General features: G+C 43.1%; 1 protein-coding gene and 1 pseudogene across 9 annotated transcripts in view, besides 1 other annotated feature; one reads left to right on the forward strand and one right to left on the reverse strand.

The window, feature by feature from the left end:
• MRPL48 (mitochondrial ribosomal protein L48) overlaps positions 1 to 19,355 on the forward strand; it is a 77,260-nt gene that overhangs the window by 34,972 nt on the left and 22,933 nt on the right. For 7 of the 9 annotated variants that reach the window (NR_134659.2, NR_134660.2, NR_134658.2 and 4 more), the window contains one exon: positions 2,863 to 2,951. The exons of 1 other annotated variant lie outside the window; for it this stretch is intronic. Coding sequence is in view for 5 of the 8 variants with exons in the window: in XM_047427121.1 (XP_047283077.1) it covers positions 2,863 to 2,951 (89 nt within the window). In the remaining 3 variants the exon portion in view is untranslated. Of the gene's footprint in view, positions 1 to 167; positions 226 to 2,862; positions 2,952 to 19,355 lie in introns of all 9 variants that reach the window. One more of the 9 variants, NM_001318498.2, reaches the window with a different exon arrangement.
• Positions 5,646 to 5,846: a silencer, noted in NCBI's record as "peak1351 fragment used in MPRA reporter construct". NCBI's record gives its function as "represses an SCP1 promoter by STARR-seq MPRAs in K562 erythroleukemia cells {active_cell/tissue: K562}" and the evidence as "EXISTENCE:reporter gene assay evidence [ECO:0000049][PMID:32103011]".
• Positions 9,606 to 9,845, reverse strand: RN7SKP243 (RN7SK pseudogene 243; annotated as a pseudogene).

Here is a 19,355-nt window from a genome sequence, read left to right on the forward strand (position 1 = left end):
CAAGCTATCACCTGAGCTCTGTCTCCTCTCAGATCAGCTGTGGCGTTAGATTCTCATAGGAGCATGAACTCTTTTGTGAACTGCACATATGAGGGATCCAGGTTGAGCACTACTCATTCTGAGAATCTAATGCCTGATGATCTGTCACTGTCTCCCATCACCCCCAGATGGGACTGTCTAGTTGCAGGAAAACAAGCTCAGGGCTTCCACTGATTCTACATTATGGTGAGTTGTACAATTATTTCATTATATATTACAATGTAATAATAATATAAATAACATGCACAATAAATGTAATATGCTTGAATCATCCCAAAACCACTTCCCCACTCCTCACATCTGTGGAAAAATTGTCTTCCATAAAATTGGTCCCTAGTGCCAAAAAGGTTGGGGACTGCTGACTTAGACTTCTTCACACCATCTTGTGTTTAATACCTCACAGAGTGGTGACCCTGAAGAAATGAGGGCAGGACCACAGCAGCTTGAAGATCCCTCTTCAAGGAAGGACTTGCTGCCCATATCTTGATGCCATATACACATACATATAGATACACACACATACACATGTTATCCTTTAACCCTCTTTATTATCCTCATTTATAAATAAAGAAGAAACAGTAGCTCAAAAAAATTTGGTGAAAGTAACCAGAAAGAAACAGGTGGGACTTCTATTTAAACTCAGGTCTATCTGACTGAACAGCCTGTGTCCATAACCACTAGGTTATAACACTTGATTTCTAGAATACAAAAATCTAGCTAGACCTGATCTGATTTCAGTTTCTTATCTCTACCCTATCTTTTCTTTTCTGTTTTTTTTTTTTTTTTTTTTTAATTTAGAGACAGGATCTTCTTATGTTGCCCGGGCTGAAGTGCAGCAGCTATTTGCACTACAACCTCAAACTCCTAGTCTCAAGCAATCCTCCTGCCTCAGCCTCCTGAGTAGCTGGGACTACAGACACATGCTACCACTATGGCTACCTGGGTCTACCACAATGTATATATATATAAAGACCCCCCTTTTTTTTTTTGAGACGGAGTCTGGGTCTGACACCCAGGCTGGAGTGCAGTGGCATGATCTTGGCTCACTGCAGCCTCCGCCTCCTGGGTTCAAGTGATTCTCCTGCCTTAGCCTCCTGAGTAACTGGGATTATATGCGTGCACCACCATGCCCAGCTAATTTTTGTATCTTTAGTAGAGATGGGGTTTCACCATGCTGGTCAGGCTGGTTTTGAACTCCTGACCTCGTGATCTACCTGCCTCGGCCTCCCAAAGTGCTGGGATTACAGCCATGAGCCACCGCACCTGGCCAAGACCCTATTTTTTTAATCCAGTAGTAGCATACCTACATACTGTTCTACACTTTTGGTTTTTGTTTTTGTTGTTGTTCACTTAACGATATTTGTTGGAGGCTGTTTTCAGATCAGCACAAATAAATCAAGTTAGATGTTTTGTAAAACTGTATGGCCGGGCGCGGTGGCTCACGCCTGCAATGCCAGTACTTTGGGTGGCCGAGGTGGGCGAATCATGAGGTCAGTTCGATACCAGCCTGACCAACATGGTGAAACCCCGACTCTACTGAAAATAGAAAAATTAGCCGGGTGTGGTGGCGCGTGCCTGTAATCCCAGCTACTCAGGAGGCTGAGGCAGGAGAATTGCTTGGACCTGGGAGGTGGAAGTTGCAGTGAGCTGAGATCGCACCACTGCACTCCAACCTGGGTTACAGAATGAGACTCTATCTCAAAAAAAAAAACAAAAAAACTTTATGGAATTCTATGCTCTTCCTCTTTGCTGGCTATTTTTGCTGCCTGTCTCTTTCTCTATATAGTCACAGTTAGAAAACTTCAAAAGGGAAGGCGAAAGGATTTTTTTTTCAAAAGAAAAAAAGAAAACCTCAAAAGGATTATTGCCTGTTGAGGAACAAGAAGAGATGAGAGCCCTCTGAGAATGTATTTTATCCCCTTACTGCCAGTGGCTTTATCAGGAGAGAATTTCTCAAAGAAAGATGAGTAGTGGGGATCGTGCATATTCTAGGAGCCAAAAGGAGAGAATAAGGGGACAAACTGAGAATCCGTCCAGGATCAAGAAATATCTATGGCTCCTTAAACCAACAAGAGGTCAGCTACCACCAAATCTTCCCAGTCCTGCAGTGGAGAATTTGTCCCCTCAAATCATCTGCTGTTCCCAGAGGAGCTTAGAAAGAGGTTTTAATATAGTTATTGTATGTTAAGGAAATTAGCATTTCTCTGTTACGTATGCTTTGTACTTTTTCTTGTCATCTAGTCCTTAACTTCATTTATTTATTTATTTTTTGTTGAACAGAAGTTTTAACTTTTTATATACTAAGTTTATTAATATTTGATTTCTAGATTTTGTTTCATGCTTAGAAAGATCTCCGAGATTACTTTTAAAAATCCTTACTGTTACCTTGTTTTTTATATATGTGTGTGTGTGTGTGTGTGTGTGTGTGTGTGTGTGTGTATACATATTTTTTTTTCTTTTTTAAATTTGTAGTCCAAGCTAGGTGTGGTGGCTCACACCTGTAATCCTGGCACCCTGGGAGGCTGAGGTGGGAGGAGCTGCAGACCAGCTTGGGCAACATAGCAAGACTCCAGCTCTACAAAAAATAAAAGACATTAGCTGGGCATGGTAGCACATGCCTGTAGTACTAGCTACTTGGGGTCGGCGGGGAGGGGGGTGTGGGCTGAGGCAGGAGACTGTCTTGTACCAGAAGTTCGAGGCTTCAATGAGCTATGAGATGGCATTACATCCCAGCTTGGGTGACAGAGCAAGACCCTGTCTCTTAAAAAACAACGATAATAGCAACAACAAAAAAACAGGTTTGTCTTATTTTCTCTCTTTTAGGTGGAATTCTACTAAGTATCAGTCGGCCCTACAAGACAAAGCCCACCCACGGCATTGGAAAGTACAAGCACTTAATTAAAGCAGAAGAGGTAACGGGCAGGGGGAGTCTTTTGGAAAAGGATAATGTGCAGCTTTTGCAAAAACCTGAAGATCAGATATGTATAGTTTTGATAATATTGGAGCTAGAAATGATAAAGTTGCCTCTCAATCCTTGCCAGTTATTAATTTGGAATTTCCAGACTGGAGATGTTTCTACCAACTTCCAATCTTATCCCTAGGCCAGGTTATAATAGTAAAAAGCAAATGGTTTTTATTTTTATTTTTTTTTGAGACAGGGTCTTGCTCTGTCACCTAGGCTGGAGTGCAGTGCATGATCACGGCTCACTGCAGCCTTGATCTCCTGGGCTCAAGTGATCCTCCCACCTGAGCCTCCCAAGTAGCTGGTACTACAGGTTCTTGCCACCATGCCCATCTAATTAAAAAAAATTTTTTTATAGAGACAGGGTCTTGCTGTATTGCCCAGGCTGGTCTCAAGCTCCTGGCCTCAAGTGATCCTCCTGCTTCAGCCTCCGGAAGCATAGGGATTACAGGCATGAGCCACCATGGCTGGCCTGATTTTATTATTTGTAATACTTAAAAAAAAATCTTCCTAGTAGTGTACTTATTTCAGTATGGACCTCATAATGGAAATGATAATTCAGTTTAGTTGAGTGAATGAGTTGTGGCAAGTAGAGGTAGACTGATATTTTCAGCCATATAACTGATACTTTTTTGTTTGTTAGTTTTTTTGAGATGGAGTCTCGCTCTGTTGCCCAGGCTGGAGTGCAGTGGCACGATCTCAGCTCACTGCAACCTTTGGCTCCCGGGTTCAAGCTGTTCTCATGCTTCAACCTCCCAAGTGGCAGGGATTATAGGCGTCCGCTGCCACACCTGGCTAATTTCTGTATTTCTAGTAGAGGTGGGGTTTTACCATGTTGACCAGCCCAGGTCTTGAACTCCTGACCCCAAGTGATCTGCCTGCCTTGACCTCTGAAAGTGCTGGGATAACTGATTCTTACTGTATTTTCTTTTTTTTTTTTTTTTTTTGAGATGGAGTTTCACTCTTATTGCTCAGGCTGGAGGGCAATGGTGCGATCTCGGCTCACTGCAACCTCCACCTCCTGGGTTCAAACGATTCTCCCGCCTCAGCCTCCCGAGTAGCTGGGATTACAGGCATGCGCCACCAAGCCTGGCTAATTTTGTATTTTTAGTAGAGACGGGATTTCTCCATGTTGGCCAGGCTGGTCTCAAACTCCCGACCTCAGGTGATCTGCCTGCCTCAGCCTCCCAAAGTGCTGGGATTACAGGCATGAGCCACCAAGCCTGGCCTCTTATTGTATTTTCAAATCTAAAATAGGCTGGGTGTGGTGGCTTACACCTGTAATCCCAGCAATTTGGGAAGCTGAGGCAGGCAGATCTCTTGAGGTTGAGTTCAAGACCAGCCTGACCAACATGGCAGGAACCCCGTCTCTACTAAAAATACAAAAATTAGCTGGGTATGGTGGCGCGTGCCTGTAATCCCAACTACTCGGAAGCCTGAGGCATGAGAATCACTTGATCCCAGGAGGTGGAGGTTGCAGTGAGCCGAGATCACGCCACTGTACTCTAGTCTGGGCAACAGAGTGAGACTCTGTCTCAAAAATAAATAGATAAATAAATTATGTGCTTCTTGAATCCTTTATCACAGGTAAGTGGATATTAGTTCTAAGCATTATGAAATTATTTAGCCCATTTCTTTGGCTCCAGTTAGATTTCTGTGTGTGTGCAGAGGATTTTCTTTTGGGGTGGATACAGCATGCAAGGTATAAGATCTGTCTTTCAATCTCAAGCCTGTCACTTCCTGCAAACAGTACAGTGGGGGGAGATTTTGGGGAGACTTCAATATCTCTTGGTTCTTTAGCTTATTTTAATGCTCCCACGCAACCACACATATTTCCTATTTACCTCTCTCTTCTTGGCAAGGTCCAATTCCACTGAATTTGGGCCTTAGAAACCACTAACCTTGCCGTGTTCTTCTGAGCTCATCCTTACAGTAAAGAATTTCAGGAGAAGAACATTACCACCTATCAGGCCTGTATTAGCCAGGCTCCCAGCAGGAAACAAATGCCCTACTAAAATTGTTCCTTTGTAGTGGGAAGTCTACTGAATTAGGAACAAGGAAACTTGTGTTCTAGGCTTGGTTCTGCCACTTTTCTGCCTTGTGACTTTGGGTAAGTCAACCTTCCCCGTCTAGGCATGGCGGGTCCTGAAATTATATGTAAAATGTTTGTTGTAGGTGAATTTTTCCGGGAAGAGAGTCCATAGTTTTTATCAGACTTTTCACAAAGGTAGAGAAATTCTGGATTAGAATATCTCTAAGACTAGAATTTCAACTTGTATGTCATGTAACTTCACGATGCTGTGCAATATTTATTGAATATCTATTATGTGCTAGGAACTCTTGATGCCTTGCCTATTCAAGAGTGAGTTGCAAAATAATTCTTTTTTTTTTTTTTTTTTAAATAGAATCTCTCTGCCGCACAGGCTGGAGTGCAGTGGTGCGATCTCGGCTCACTACAACCTCTGCCTCCTGGGCTCAAGAGAGCCTCCCATCTCAGCCTCCTGAGCAGCTGGGACTACAGGCATGCACCACCACACCCAGCTAGTTTTTGTATTTTTTTGTAAAGATGGTATTTTGCCATGTTGCCCAGACTGGTCTCAAACTCCTGAGCTCAAGTGATACACCTGCCTCAGCCTCCCAAAGTGCAAGGAATACAGAGATGAGCTACCATGCCTGGCAAGCAAAATAATTTTACAAAATGGATGAACAAGACATGGTTCATTCTCAGAGGGAGCTGTTAAACCAACAGAGATAAGACACAGACAATATACTTCCAGGCAGAAAGTGACAAGTGCTAAAAGGAAGATACAAAGCGCTATTAAAATTCGGAAGGAATGGTTTACTTTTTTGGAGTTGTGACACCTTAGAGTAAATTATTGAAGTTGTTTTATTTTGAGACATCCCCCTTCTTTTTTTTTTTTTTTAAATACTAAGCATCCTTTTATTTGCTGACACCATTACAAAAACATTACATTTGCAACAAAAAAGTGTTTTCTTCAGTTGAAGTCAGAGGCAGTTACTTCCCAAAATATTAAGTAAAACAGTGTACAACATCAGTGAGATATCCCCCTTCTAAAAGTCCCACATAAAATAGTGGGAAATAAAATTAGTTTTGTTTGAGGGGGACTTTTTTGGCTGTTTTAAAAAAATGTCTTAGAATCTTCTCTCTCAGATAATTTTCTGCATATGTCATGCTCTGACCCACTCCATTAACATGGTATAAAAGGAAGCTTAATGCCGTCTGTCCCCACCTTCCTCTCCAGCCTCTTCTCCACTCTCCCGGATACCACGCTTTAACTGTATTGGGCCTTTTGTTTTTCCTCCAAGTCATTATACTTTTTCAAGGCTCACAAGCTGTTCTGTCTACTTGGAAGACCTCCCCTTCTTCACCTGGCTAATTCCTCTTCAACCTTTAAATCTCAGTGAGAAAGCAGGGTGAGGAGGGACACAGACAAATTTCTCCTTCTAAGAAACCTTCCTGGATTCTCTGCACTAAGTTACTTTTCTTTCTTTCTTTTTTTTTTTCTTTTTTAAATTTGAGACATGGTCTCACTCTGCTGCCCAGGCTGGAATGCAGTGGTGTGATCCTGGCCCACTGCCCCTTGAATACCTAGGTTCAAGCGATCCTTCTGCCTCAGCTTCTCAGTAGCTGGGACTACTTGGTGGCACATGCCACCAAGCCTGGCTAATTTTTAGAAATGTTTATAGAGATGGGGTCTCACTATAGTGCCCATGCTAGTCTTCCGGTCCTGGGTTCAAGTGATCCTCCCACCTTGGCCTCCCAAGTGCTGGGATTACTGGTGGGAACCACCATGCCCAGCCCTGAGTTGCTTTTCTTACCATGAGCTGCCAGAGTTCTTGTGCTTCCTCTGTCCTAGGAAAACTGCTCTATGTTTTAATCATCTGAGTGTTTTTATTGTTTTTGTTTTTGTTTTTGAGACAGGTTCTCGCTCTGTCACCCAGGCTGGAATGCAGTGGTGCAATCTCAGCTCACTGCAACCTCTGCCTCTCAGGCTCAAATGATTCTCCCTCTTCAGCCTCCTGAGTAGCTAGGATTACAGGAGTATACCACTACACCCGGCTCATTATATTTTTGTAGAGATGGGGGTCTCGCCATGTTACCCAGGCTGGTCTCAAACTCCAGGACTTAAGTGATCCGTCTGCCTCAGCCTCCCAAAGTACTAGGATTACAGGAGTGAGCCACCGTACCTGGCCTTAACCATCTATTTTGATGACTATGTTCTATTTTAGATTATGAGGTCCCTAAGGGTAGAAGTCTCAGTTTTCTTCATATCCTCAGTGTCCGGCACAGGGCCTAGCATCAAGGAGAGGACAGTAAATATTGATTAAGCTGGACTGAAATGTGGTTATTGGAGCTGCCCTGTGGTTTTATAAATCAGATTTATCAAATATAACCCACTATCTGCAAACACCTGGCTCCAGATGACCTTGGTTGCTTGAATGGATTGGATGCTCCCTTTGTTTAGGGTTGTAGGCTTTTCTCTGATGTTATTCAGTGTCCCAGGGTGGCTAGTACAGTAGTGCTGGATACTGGAGTAAGTTGCTCCAGCCTCGTGGCTTCCTGCACAGGACAGCACAGTGAAAGCTTTCATTCACCACCTTACAGAGGCTCTGTCCTGAGTTCCTGTCTCTTATCCCTCTGGGGAACTGGACTAGTTAAACTAGATGGAATCTTTTGTGGCCTCCTTTCTTTCTCTCCCTAAGCCTAGAAAAAAAATAAGTTGGCCAGATTCCCATTTTTTCCTCTCTGGGTCTCAGTCTGGCCCCTCTACTCTTGTGAGCCCAACATCCCTAAGACGAGTAAATTCTCATGCTCATGCATAAAGTATCCAACCCTTGTCCCATTTCTGCTGGTATAATCCCTTCATTCCTCCTTCGAAAGGTCCCACACTCAGTCTTATGACTTACGCATCTTGGGAAGGAAGGGGGTATCTACTTCATCTCAGCTTTCCTTGTTAATACTGTTTTTATCTCTTTCTTTCTTTCTTTCTTTCTTTTTTTTTTGAGATGGAGTCTTCCTGGAGTTCAGTGGTGCCATCTCGGCTCACTGTAATGTCCGCCTTCCGGGTTCAAGCAATTGTCCTGCCTCAGCCTCCTGAGTAGCTGGGATTACAGGCATGCGCTACCATGCCCAGGTAATTTTTGTATTTTTAGTAGAGATGGGGTTTCATCATGTTGGCCAGGCTGGTCTCAAACTCCTGACCTCAGGTGATCCACCTACCTTGGCCTCCCTAAGAGCTGGGATTATAGACATGAGCCACCGTGCCCAGCCTGTTTTTATCTTTTTCTTACATGGCCCGGTTTATAACTCTGAATAGTTTCCCATCCCTCCATCCCGTGTCCTTGTCCTTGATGCTTTTTTGAGGGAGTAGATGAGAGATAAAAATGAGGCTTTTTCTCAGGTGGCAGCATGGGGCATGACAATAAATGTGGTATTTCAGCTCGCTTACAGTATGTACCTGACCTCCTTCTCAGTGATTTCCCTTTTTGCACCTTGTATTTCAGACATGTTTTCTCATACACCCATGCTCTTTCCTGCCTCTCTGCCTTTGCACATGCTCTTTCCTTTGTATGGGATGATACCCTCCCTTTTTTCTCTATGGTGCTCATCCTGTAAGACCCATCTTGACCTGTGGCAGTGAGTGATCATATTTTAGAGCGTATCTCCAGACCTAGCATCCTGTCTCAAAGTGTAGATCTCATTATTCCTTAAAGGCCCTGCATCATTCAGTTGAATTTAAAAAGGCTTCAGATATTTGGAGTGACTTATATTTCACAGAAGTAAAAATAAGGCCAGGCGTGGTGGCTCATGCCTATAATCCCAGCACTTTGGGAGGCCGAGGGGGGAGGATCACCTGAGGTCAGGAGTTCGAGACCAGCCTGACCACCATGGTGAAACTCCATCTCTACTAAAAATGCAAAATTAGCTGGGCATGGTGGCGCATGCCTGTAATCCCAGCTACTTGGGAGACTGAGGCGGGAGAATCGCTTGAGCCGGGGAGGTGGAGGTTGCAATGAGCCGAGATCATGCCATTGCACTCCAGCCTGGGCAACAAGAGTGAAACTCTGTCTCAAAAAAAAAAAAAAAAAAAAAAAGTAAAAATAATAATAGTCATCACATTTGTATAGCACTGGGTCATTTTTCCCAAGACCATTTAGTTACTTGACCTCAGCTGTTGTCCAGCTTCCAGTCTTGGGGTAATGGCAGCTTAATAATCTGAAAATTGCCAAGAGAAAGATGTGGAAGGATGAAATGGAGGCAACATGAATTTCTGTCACCTTGTCATATGTTCTCATTTCCAGGCCTTGGAGCAAGAGAGTTAGGTATATCTTCTGTAACTCAGACAATTTTCTTCCTCTTTGCAGAATGGCCCCTAGGAATCAAGGTAGCTTTTCTTTTGGAAACTTCATGCTGTTTTTAGTGTTGATAGAAAGGAGGTATCTGCCATTTCTGTCACCTATTTTATTTTGTTGTAGCACCCATAATAGATCAGCTGTCACAGCCACAAATCTCTGAGGAGACTGGAATCATTCCCAGATAAATCAGAAAGTCAGAATCACTTTATGGTTATAGTCCTGGCTTCTTGAGAGCTTGTCTGGAGGTTGTAGCAGGGGAGCACAGCTAGTCATATACCCTTGACTAAGGACCGGTCTTCCTCTATTGGGGATGGTTGTCCTCTTCTACTGAGCTTGCAGCTTTGGGAGGGATGCACATGGAGTGGTGAGGGAGGAAGGGGACACCCGCCTAGCCAGCCAGATCAGCTGAATCAACCCTGGCAATCAATGGGGTGACAGATGTTGCAGCCAGATCGCCCTCACATCCAGTCCTACCTTCTTGGTAACAAAACAATTGGTTTTGCTGGTCTAGAAACTGTAGGGCTAGACATGTATTATAGGACTGGCTTAGGGAGAGTTACTTTATATTAGCACTCATGTTTTCACTCATTTATTTCTTGTAGCTCATTAAAAGAAAAACCATAATTGAGCATCTACTATATGCCATGCATTGTGCTGAGTATCCATGATGCTCAGGTGAACGGGACATGGTCCTGTAAAAAGTGTAAAGTCTGCTGGGAAAGTTAGTGCTCAAAAGTGTAACTAAATACTTGAGGCAAGTGCTTTACTAGGGAATAAACTAAATATCAAGAGAACAAAGATAAGCAATTCCTTCACGATGTTTTACATGGTAAATCCATACAATTTTAAAAACAAAAAAGAAGCAATTCTCCCCAAAAGGGTCAGTGAAGGTGTTACGGAGTTCAGCTCAACAAACATTTATTAAATGCCACCTGTATTCTTGGCACTGGGTAGGTAAAGCTGAACTGGACACTCCTCTGGCAGTATCTAGTTGCTTGGGGTAGCTGTTGACACAGGGCTGTGAAGAACATAGAAAAGCTCCCCAGGGCTTTTCTAAGTACAGGGAGTGACTCACGTGAAGACCTGACTGCCTGTGCCATTAGAGCTCCTGGTCTGCAGCCCCTGGGAGTCTTGCCCTGTGTCACCAAATTACAATAGTGTCTGATTTTTAGAGGGATTCATGTTTGATATGAATAATAGTAATGACCCTTTTCCATTCTAAAAGTACTTTGGCATCCATTATCTCAGATCCTTGCAAGCCATATTCCCTTGGAACATTGGTGGTACTAGAGCCAAACCCCTCCTCAAGATGAATAATAATAGTCTTTCCCATTTTAGAAACATATTAAATGAATGGATAGAATTTTCTAAATTTCACACATTCCTCCTATCAGCTTTACTTGATAAAAACAAATATTGACAGAGAAACTCAGTTATGTTTTTGTTTTTTTAATTATTATTTTTTTCAGAGACAGGGTCTTGCTCTGTTGCCCAGGTTGGAGTGCAGTGGTGCAATCATAGCACACTGTACCCTCAACCTCTCAGGCTCAAGTGATCTTCTCACCCCAGCCTCCAGAGTAGCTGGAACTACAGGTGTGTACGACTACGCCTTGCTAATATTTTTATTTTTTAAATTGATTAATTAATTTTTTGAGATGGGCTCACTCTGTCATCTAGGCTGGAGTGCTGTGGCATGATTATGGCTCACTGCAGCCTTGACCTCTCTGGCTCAGGTAATCCTCCCACCTCAGCCTCCTAAGTAATTGGGATTATAGGTGCGCCCCACCACACCTGGCTAATTTTTTGTAAAGATGGGGTTTCACCATGTTGCTCAGGCTGGTCTCGAACTCCTGGACTCAAGTGATATGCCTGCCTTGGGCTCCTAAAGTGTTGGGATTACAGGTGTGAGCCACCACAGCTGGCCTAGAATTCATTTCAGTTCAACTCAACATTTAATAATTTGGGGCTCTAGGAATAGAAAGATTAATGAGACATAGTACCTTCCTACATGAATTGTGGTAGTAGTTTAGCTACCATAATAGAGAGACCTACAATACCAGGGGCTTAAGTAAAATAGAAATTTCTTTCTTTCTGACATAAAAGTATAAGTAGATATTCCAGCTTTTTGTTTTGCCATACTTATCATATTACTTCTATCTCATGGTTTGAGATGGCTGCTCCCTCTTTAGCCACTATGTTCACATTTCAGGCAGCAGGAAGCGGAAAGGGGAAGCAGTGGTCATCATGTTTCTTTTCTCTTTGTTTTTTGTTTTTGTTGTTCTTGTTTTATTTTGTTTTTGCTGGTTTTTTTTTTTGTTTTTTTTTTTGAGACGGAGTCTCGCTCTGTCACCCAGGCTGGAGTGCAGCGGCGCGATCTCGGCTCACTGCAACCTCCGCCTCCCGGGTTCAAGTGATTCTCCTGCCTCAGCCTCCCGAGTAGCTGGGACTACAGGCGTGTGCCACCATGCCCAGCTAATTTTTTGTATTTTTAGTAGAGACAGGGTTTCACCATGTTGGCCAGGTTGGTCTTAATCTCCTGACCTCAGGTGATCTGCCCGCCTCAGCCTACCAAAGTGCTGGGATTACAGGTGTGAGCCACCATGTCTGGCCTGTTTTTTTTTTTTTGAGACAGGATCTCATTCTGTCATCCAGCCTGGAGTGTAGTGGTGTGATTATAGCTCACTGCAACCTCAAACTCTTGAGTTTAAGCGATCCCCCAGCCTCAGCCTCCTGAGTAGCTGGGACCACAGGTACACGCCATCACACAGGGCTAATTTTTAAATTTTTTTGTGGAGATGGGGTCTTGCCATGTTGCCCAGGCTTGTCTCAAACTTCTGGGCTCAAGCAATCTACCCACCTTGGCTTCCCAAAGTGCTGGGATTACAGGTGTGAGCCACTGTGCCCAGCCATGTTGTCTTTTTTTTTTTTTTTTTTTTGAGACGAAGTCTCGCTCTGTCACCAGGCTGGAGTGCTGTGGTGTGATCTTGGCTCACTGCAACCTCCGACTCCCTGGTTCAAGCGATTCTCTTGCCTCAGCCTCCTGAGTAGCTGGGATTACAGGCACGTGCCACCATGCCCAGCAGATTTTTGTATTTTTAGTAGAGATGGAGTTTCACCATTTTGGCTAGGATAGTCTCGATCTCCTGACCTCGTGATCCGCCTGCCTCGGCCTCCCAAAGTGCTAGGATTACAGGCGTGAGCCACCGCGCCCACCCTGTCTTTCTTTAGAGTAATTGAACTAGCACTTTGCAAACTGCAGTTGCTTAATACATTCTTCATTTCGTAAAATTTACTAGTTGGAAATTGGGACCATGCTTATCTCCAATATATAGTAGTAACAGTAATGTCCTATCTATGTACACTACACAACCTCTTTTAAAAATGCCATTTATGGCAGAGCACAGTGACTCACACCTGTAATCCCAGCATTTTGGGAGGCGGAGGCTGGTGGATCACCTGAGTTCAGGAGTTTGAGACCAGCCTGGCCAACATGGTGAAACCCCATTTCTACTAAAAATACAAAATTACCCAGACATGGTGGCAGATGCCTGTAATCACAGCTACTCGGGAGGCTGAGGCACAAGAATTGCTTCAACTCTGGAGGTGAAGGTTGCAGTGAGTCGAGATCATGCCACTACACCCTAGCCTGAGTGACAGAGTGAGACTCTGTCTCAAAATAATAATAATTTTAAAATGCCATTTATTTATTTATTTTTAATTTATTTTTTTGAGACAGGGTCTCACTGTCGCCCAGGTTGGAGTGCAGTGGCGCGATCTTGGCTCACTGCAACCTTTTCCTCCTGGGTTCAAGCAATTCTTGTGCCTCGGTTTCCTGAGTAGCCAGGATTACAGGTGTGCACCTCCATGCCCAGCTAATTTTTGTAGTTTTATTTTTATTTATTTACTTTTTTTGAGACAGGGTCTCACTCTGTCACCCAGGATGGAGTGCAGTGGCACCATCTCGGCTCACTGCAACCTCTAGCTCCCAGGTTCAAGCAATTCTGGTGCCTCAGCCTCCTGAGTAGCTGGGACTACAGGCGCCTGGCTGCAACCTCCACCTCCTGGGTTCAAGCGATTCTCCCTGCCTCAGCTTCCCAAGTAGATGGGATTACAGTCACTCACCACCACATGCCCAGCTAATTTTTTGTATTTTTAGTAGAGACGGGTTTTCACCATGTTGGCCAGTCTGGTCTCGAACTTCTGACCTCAGGTGATCCTCCCACCTCACCCTTCTAAAGTGCCAGGATTACAGGCATGAGCCACCGTGCCCTTCCAAAAATGCCACTTATTATTATATACCAGGTGCTGTAAGTACTATGTGCCAGGCTTTAAAGACATTATTTCATTTTATAGCCTTATAAACATATATATTATTTAAGCCTTAGAGTATCATATGGTTATTCAAGACCCTGTTTGAGGAATCCAAGACTCAGAGAAAGATTAAATGATGTGCCCACGTGGCTAGAAGTTTTCAGAGCCGATATTTGGAATGAGGATGGCCAGAATTCATCTAACATCTCTAGTATTTCCATTTCATATAAATTCACTCTATTAAGCTTCACAATAACTTTAGCTGTTACAGATGAGGAAACTGAGGCCTAGAAAGGTCACACAGTGTCATGTAGTGACTAAGCAGATAGTTAGGATTTGAGGTCAGATTTTCTGTGGCTTCCATCTAAGTCTAGTGCACTTTATATAGCATCAGGCCATGCCTCCTTGCTACCCCAGTCAGAGCCAGGCCTTTTGTCCATATGTCTCTCAAGTGTATAACACCAGGTTATAAACATACTCAATCGCTGCATACCTCACAGCTCATTATGGACTGTTGATAGTACTTAACCCCAAATCATTCAAATCCTCGGGTGTAAATTTTGTTATTTTCATCACTAGAATTTCTGGAAGCTGAATATGCTGCAGGCATATCAGCCTTTTTGTTTGAGGATTCAGATAATGGATTAATTCTTATCCAACTTTCTCACCCTGGAGAATGTCACTTATAGCGATGGGTAGATACTATCACTTTAAAGGAGAGAGCCTGGGCTTGGGGCTGCAGACTCAGCTTCCAGTTCTGGATAGACATAAAGTTGTTACCTTTGCCCTTGTCTTGCTGTTAAACCTTACACAAGCCATTTTCCTTTTCTGGGTCTCAACTTCCCCCTTGTGTAGAATTAGGGGGAAGGAGAGATTAAATTATCTCTAAGATCCTTTCTGGCTGTAACAGGCTATGATTCTAATTTGATTCCTTTCTTTATCTGCTCTTTCCAGCAAAGTTTCTCAGTAACCTTGGGCAAATAACTTACCTTCAGAGGACCTCAGTTTTCTGTCTGTGAAATAGGGGTAATAATGTGAACATTTGTGTACAAAACTTGTTTCATAATTTACCCTATAGTCTATTTGGGGGACCAGAGTGCAGTCCTACAAGGACCTAAGAATGACAATCCTGGGCCATCCCTTAGTGAATCTAGGCCATAGGAGTGCCAACGTTTGATGATGGACAGTAGTCCATCCTCCCTACTACGTTTCTCCTAACTTCCTTTCCTTTCCTGCCTGGCTGGCCTTCATGTGCAGTCAGGTTGGGCTTCCCAAAACACAGCTTTATTCATGTATATCCTTTGCACAGATTTATTTATTTATTTATTTAGAGACAGAGTCTCGCACTGTTGCCCGGGCTGGAGTGCAGTCAGTGGCATGATCTTGGCTCACTGCAACCTCTGCTTCACGGGTTCAAGCGATTCTCCTGCCTCAGCCTCCTGAGTATCTGGGACTACAGGCACCCGCCACCACGCCTGGCTAATTTTTTTGTATTTTTGGTAGAGATGGGGTTTCACCATGTTGGTCAGGCTGGTCTTGAACTCCTGACCTCATGGTCCGCCTGCCTCGGCCTCCCAAAGTGCTGGGATTACAGGCATGAGCCTCCACTCCTGGCCCACAGATATATCTTTAATAGTTCCTCATGGCATTCATGAAGTCCTGAACTCAATCAGTAGGCATTGAGAGAATGGGATGGATGTGAGAAAAATTGTGTAGATAAAATGACAGAAACTGGCATCTGGTATTATATGCAGTTAAGCTCTTGCTGGCTATGCTGTGCCCTGGCTCAGAACTGAAATATGTATTGTAATATCACAGTGGGATCTTGATAATGTGAATTGGTTCAGGTAGATCTAGGCCAACATGGGAAAGCAAATGAGATGCCAAGATGGACACTGGGATCAGCTTTCTTTTCTTTGTTCCCCTAAAGCAATACCTTTGGAGAGTCCTGGCATTTTCTGTGGTTAAGAAAAGCCTCCTACAGGCTTCAGAGAAGCTCCTCCCCTCTCTGCTGGAAAATTTCAGCCACTCTCCATTGCATTCTGACTTCAGCATTCTAGACAGCTCTTACTGCAGTGCTGCCTGTCACGATGAGAAGTCCTGATTGCTGCATTTGGCCATGAATGTGTTGGGCTCTGAAGAGGAGAGAGCCAAATGCCTGCATGTTGGTGGTTGGTTTCTAGAGGTTGGCTTCCCACTCACCGCAAGGTCTAGCACCCTGGGGTGGCCACCACTGTTAAGAACTTTAGTAATGCAGAGGAAAAATTCCTGCACTAGGATCAGGAGGTCTGGATTTTAGTTCCTGGGGTCTGTCTTGTCTGGCTTCGTGATTCTGGGGAACACATTTATCTGTTTGGGCTTCATATTCTTCCCTTGCAAAGATGAAGAACCAGGACAAAAGCATCTCTAAATTCCTTCCTATTCTAAAATTTTAAAATAATGACTCATTGTATGTTTTCTCTTTGCTGGGCCCTGTGCTAGATAGGAGGAATATAAAGTGAAAATAATAATAAAAGTTAATGTTTAGTGTTTATGTGCCACAGATTGTATTAACCATTTTACATATAGTATTTTGTTCAGTTCTCAAAACATTCCTGTGAGATCAGGTCTATCATCAGTATTACTGGCCTTGTAAAAGGACCATTTCTTTGTCTTCTCTGTGCTTCCTCAAATTGGCTTCCTGCTCTTGACAGGTTGACCTTCAGAGCAGCAGTGTAAGGGAACCATTCCAGGTGCTCTGTTAGGAACAATGCTGCTGTGGAAGCCCCTAGACTGTTGGCTATTAGATGGGGTGACTTAAGACATATCAGTAGGGATAGTTTTTTTTTCTTTTTTTCTTAAAAAAATAATTCAGCCCCATAGCAAGACTTACTATAAATCTCCAATTATTAGGACATGGTGGTATTATCTCATGGATAGACAAATAGCCCAATGGAACAGAAGAGTAGAGAAACAAATGCACATATCTCTGGGTGCTTGTTATATGACATAGGTGGCACTGTAAAGTAGTGTGGCTGGGTCATTTCGGCTGGATGATCATGTGAAAACAAAAAATGACTCTTGACCCTATTTCACGCCACACACAGAAATGACTTAAAGATGGATTGTAGATCTAAATGTAAATATTAAAATAATAAAACTGCTAGAAGGTAAAATACAAGGATGTCTCCATGATCTTAAGGTAGGCAAAGATTTCTTAAACAGGACACAAAAATCCCTATAACCATAAAAAATGAATACATTGGACTACATTAAAAATAAGAACTTAATTTCAACTTCAGGCCTGGTGTGGTAACTCACTTCTATAATCCCAGCACTTCGGGAGGCTGAGGTGGAAGGATCGCTTGAGGTCAGGAGTTTGAGACCTGCCTGGGCAACAGAGTGAGACTCCATCTCTATGAAAAATTTTAAAAATGAGCCAGGCATGATAATGTGCACTGTAGTCCCAGATACTTGGGAGGCTGAGGCGGGAGGATCACTTGAGACCCGGAGTTCCAGGCTGCAGTGAGCTACCGTTGTGTCACTGCACTCCAACCTGGGCAATATAGTGAGACCCTGTCCTTAAAAAAAAAAAAAAACTCAGTTTTGTCAGTGACAAGTTAAATGAAAAAGAGAAAATAAATAAAAATAAAAAATAGCTTCTCATCAAAATATACCATTATAAAGTTAAAAGGGGGCTGGAAGCTGTGGCTTATGCCTATAATCCTAATACTTTGGGAGGCCAAGGCTGGCGGATCACTTGAACCCAGGAGTTTGAGACCAGCCTGTGCAACGTGGAAAAACCTTGTCTCTATAAAAAAATGCAAAAATTAGCTGGGCATAATGGCACATGCCTGTAATCCTAGCTGCTCAGGAGGTTGAGGTGTGACGATCACTTGAGCCTAGGAGGTCGAGGCTGCAGTAAGCTGTGATTGTGCCACTGAACTCCAGCCTGGGCAACAGAGTAAGACCCTGTTGTTGTTTTTTGTTTTTTGTTTTTTTATAGACGGAGTCTCGCTCTGTCACCCAGGCTAGAGTGCAGTGGTGTGATCTCAGCTCATTGCAACCTCTGCCTCCCAGGTTGAAGCGATTCTCCTGCCTCAGCCTCTGGAGTAGCTGGGACTACAGGCACCCGCCACCACGCCCAGCTAATTTTTGTATTTTTAGTAGAGGCGCGGTTTCACCATATTGGCCAGGCTGGTCTTGAACTCCTGACCTCAGGTGATGCACCCACCTCGGCCTCCCAAAGTGTTGGGATTACAGGCATGAGCCACCACACCCGGCCAACCCTGTCTCACAAAAAAATAAAATAAAATAAAAATAAAGTAAAAAGGGAAGGTACAGAGAGGGAGAAGATATTTGCAGCATGTACAAAGGATCATGTTTAGAATATATAAAGAGCCTCTACAAATCAATAAGAGAAAGGCAGACAACCCAGTTTTTAAAATGAGCAAAATACTTGAATAGGCAGATTACAAAAGATAGTATCCAAATAGCCAGTAATCATATGGGAAGGTGCTCAGGCTCAATAGATATAAAGAAAATGCTAGTTAAAATCTCATTGCATTACCACTACCAAAATGGCTAAAATAAAGAAACCCACAAGAAAACCTGACTATACTGTTTTCTAAGTGTTAGGAAGAATGTAGAGCAATTAGAACTCTCATACACTGCTGGTGGAAGTCTAAATTGGAAACTACTCTACAAAACTGTTTGAGAGTGTCTATTAAAGGTGAACCTGTTCATACTGTGTAACTCAGTAGTTCAGCTCCCAGGTACACCCCCAACAGAAATGCATACATATGTTCACTAAAAGATACATACTAGAACATTGGTTGCACTACTATTCATAACGGCCCCATACTGGAAATAACTCAAATTTCCACCAACAGTAGAAAGGATAAATAAATTGTGGCATATTCATACAGTGGACTAGTAGCACATGAGAAGGAAAGAATTGCCATTCCACATAATGCCTGGTTGAATCTTATGAACCTAATGAATGAAAGAAGACGGACACAAAAGAGAATGTATCTATCATTCCATTTTCATGAATTTCAAAAACATGCAAAATAACTCTATGGTTTCATAAGTCAGGATAGTGGTTACTAATTTGGGGAAAGGAGATCTTTTTAGGGTACTGGTAATGTTCTGTTTCTTGTCTAGGGTACTGATTACAGAGGTACTTTCACTTTGTGAAAATTCATTGAGGTGTAACTTATTTATGTATTTTTGCATATTAATGCAATAAAAATTTACTAAAATTCAAACATAATAGATTTTAAAATTCTAATTTTAGATTAATAAGATATTTACACTATTAGAAAATTTTAAAAACAGAAGAAAATAGTTTAAAATTCTCATTCCTACCCCCAGACCCCAGCCACCTAGTTCCCTCACAAACAGCCAATGATACTAGTTTTTGGGGGGGGGTTTGTTTTTATTTTTGTTTTTGAGACATGGTCTCACTCTGTCGCCTAGGCTGGAGTGCAATGGCTCAATCACCACTCACTGCAACCTCTGCCTCCCAGGCTCAAGCGGTCTTCCTGTCTCAGCCTCCCAAGTTGCTGGGACTACAGGTGTGCACCACCACGGCTGGCTAATTTTTATGTTTTTTGCAGAGCTGGGATTTTGCCATGTTATCCAGGCTGGTCCTGAACTCCTAGGCTCAAGCAGTCTGCCTGCC

Source organism: Homo sapiens, chromosome 11, assembly GCF_000001405.40.
Source record: "Homo sapiens chromosome 11, GRCh38.p14 Primary Assembly".
Taxonomy (NCBI): domain Eukaryota; kingdom Metazoa; phylum Chordata; class Mammalia; order Primates; family Hominidae; genus Homo; species Homo sapiens.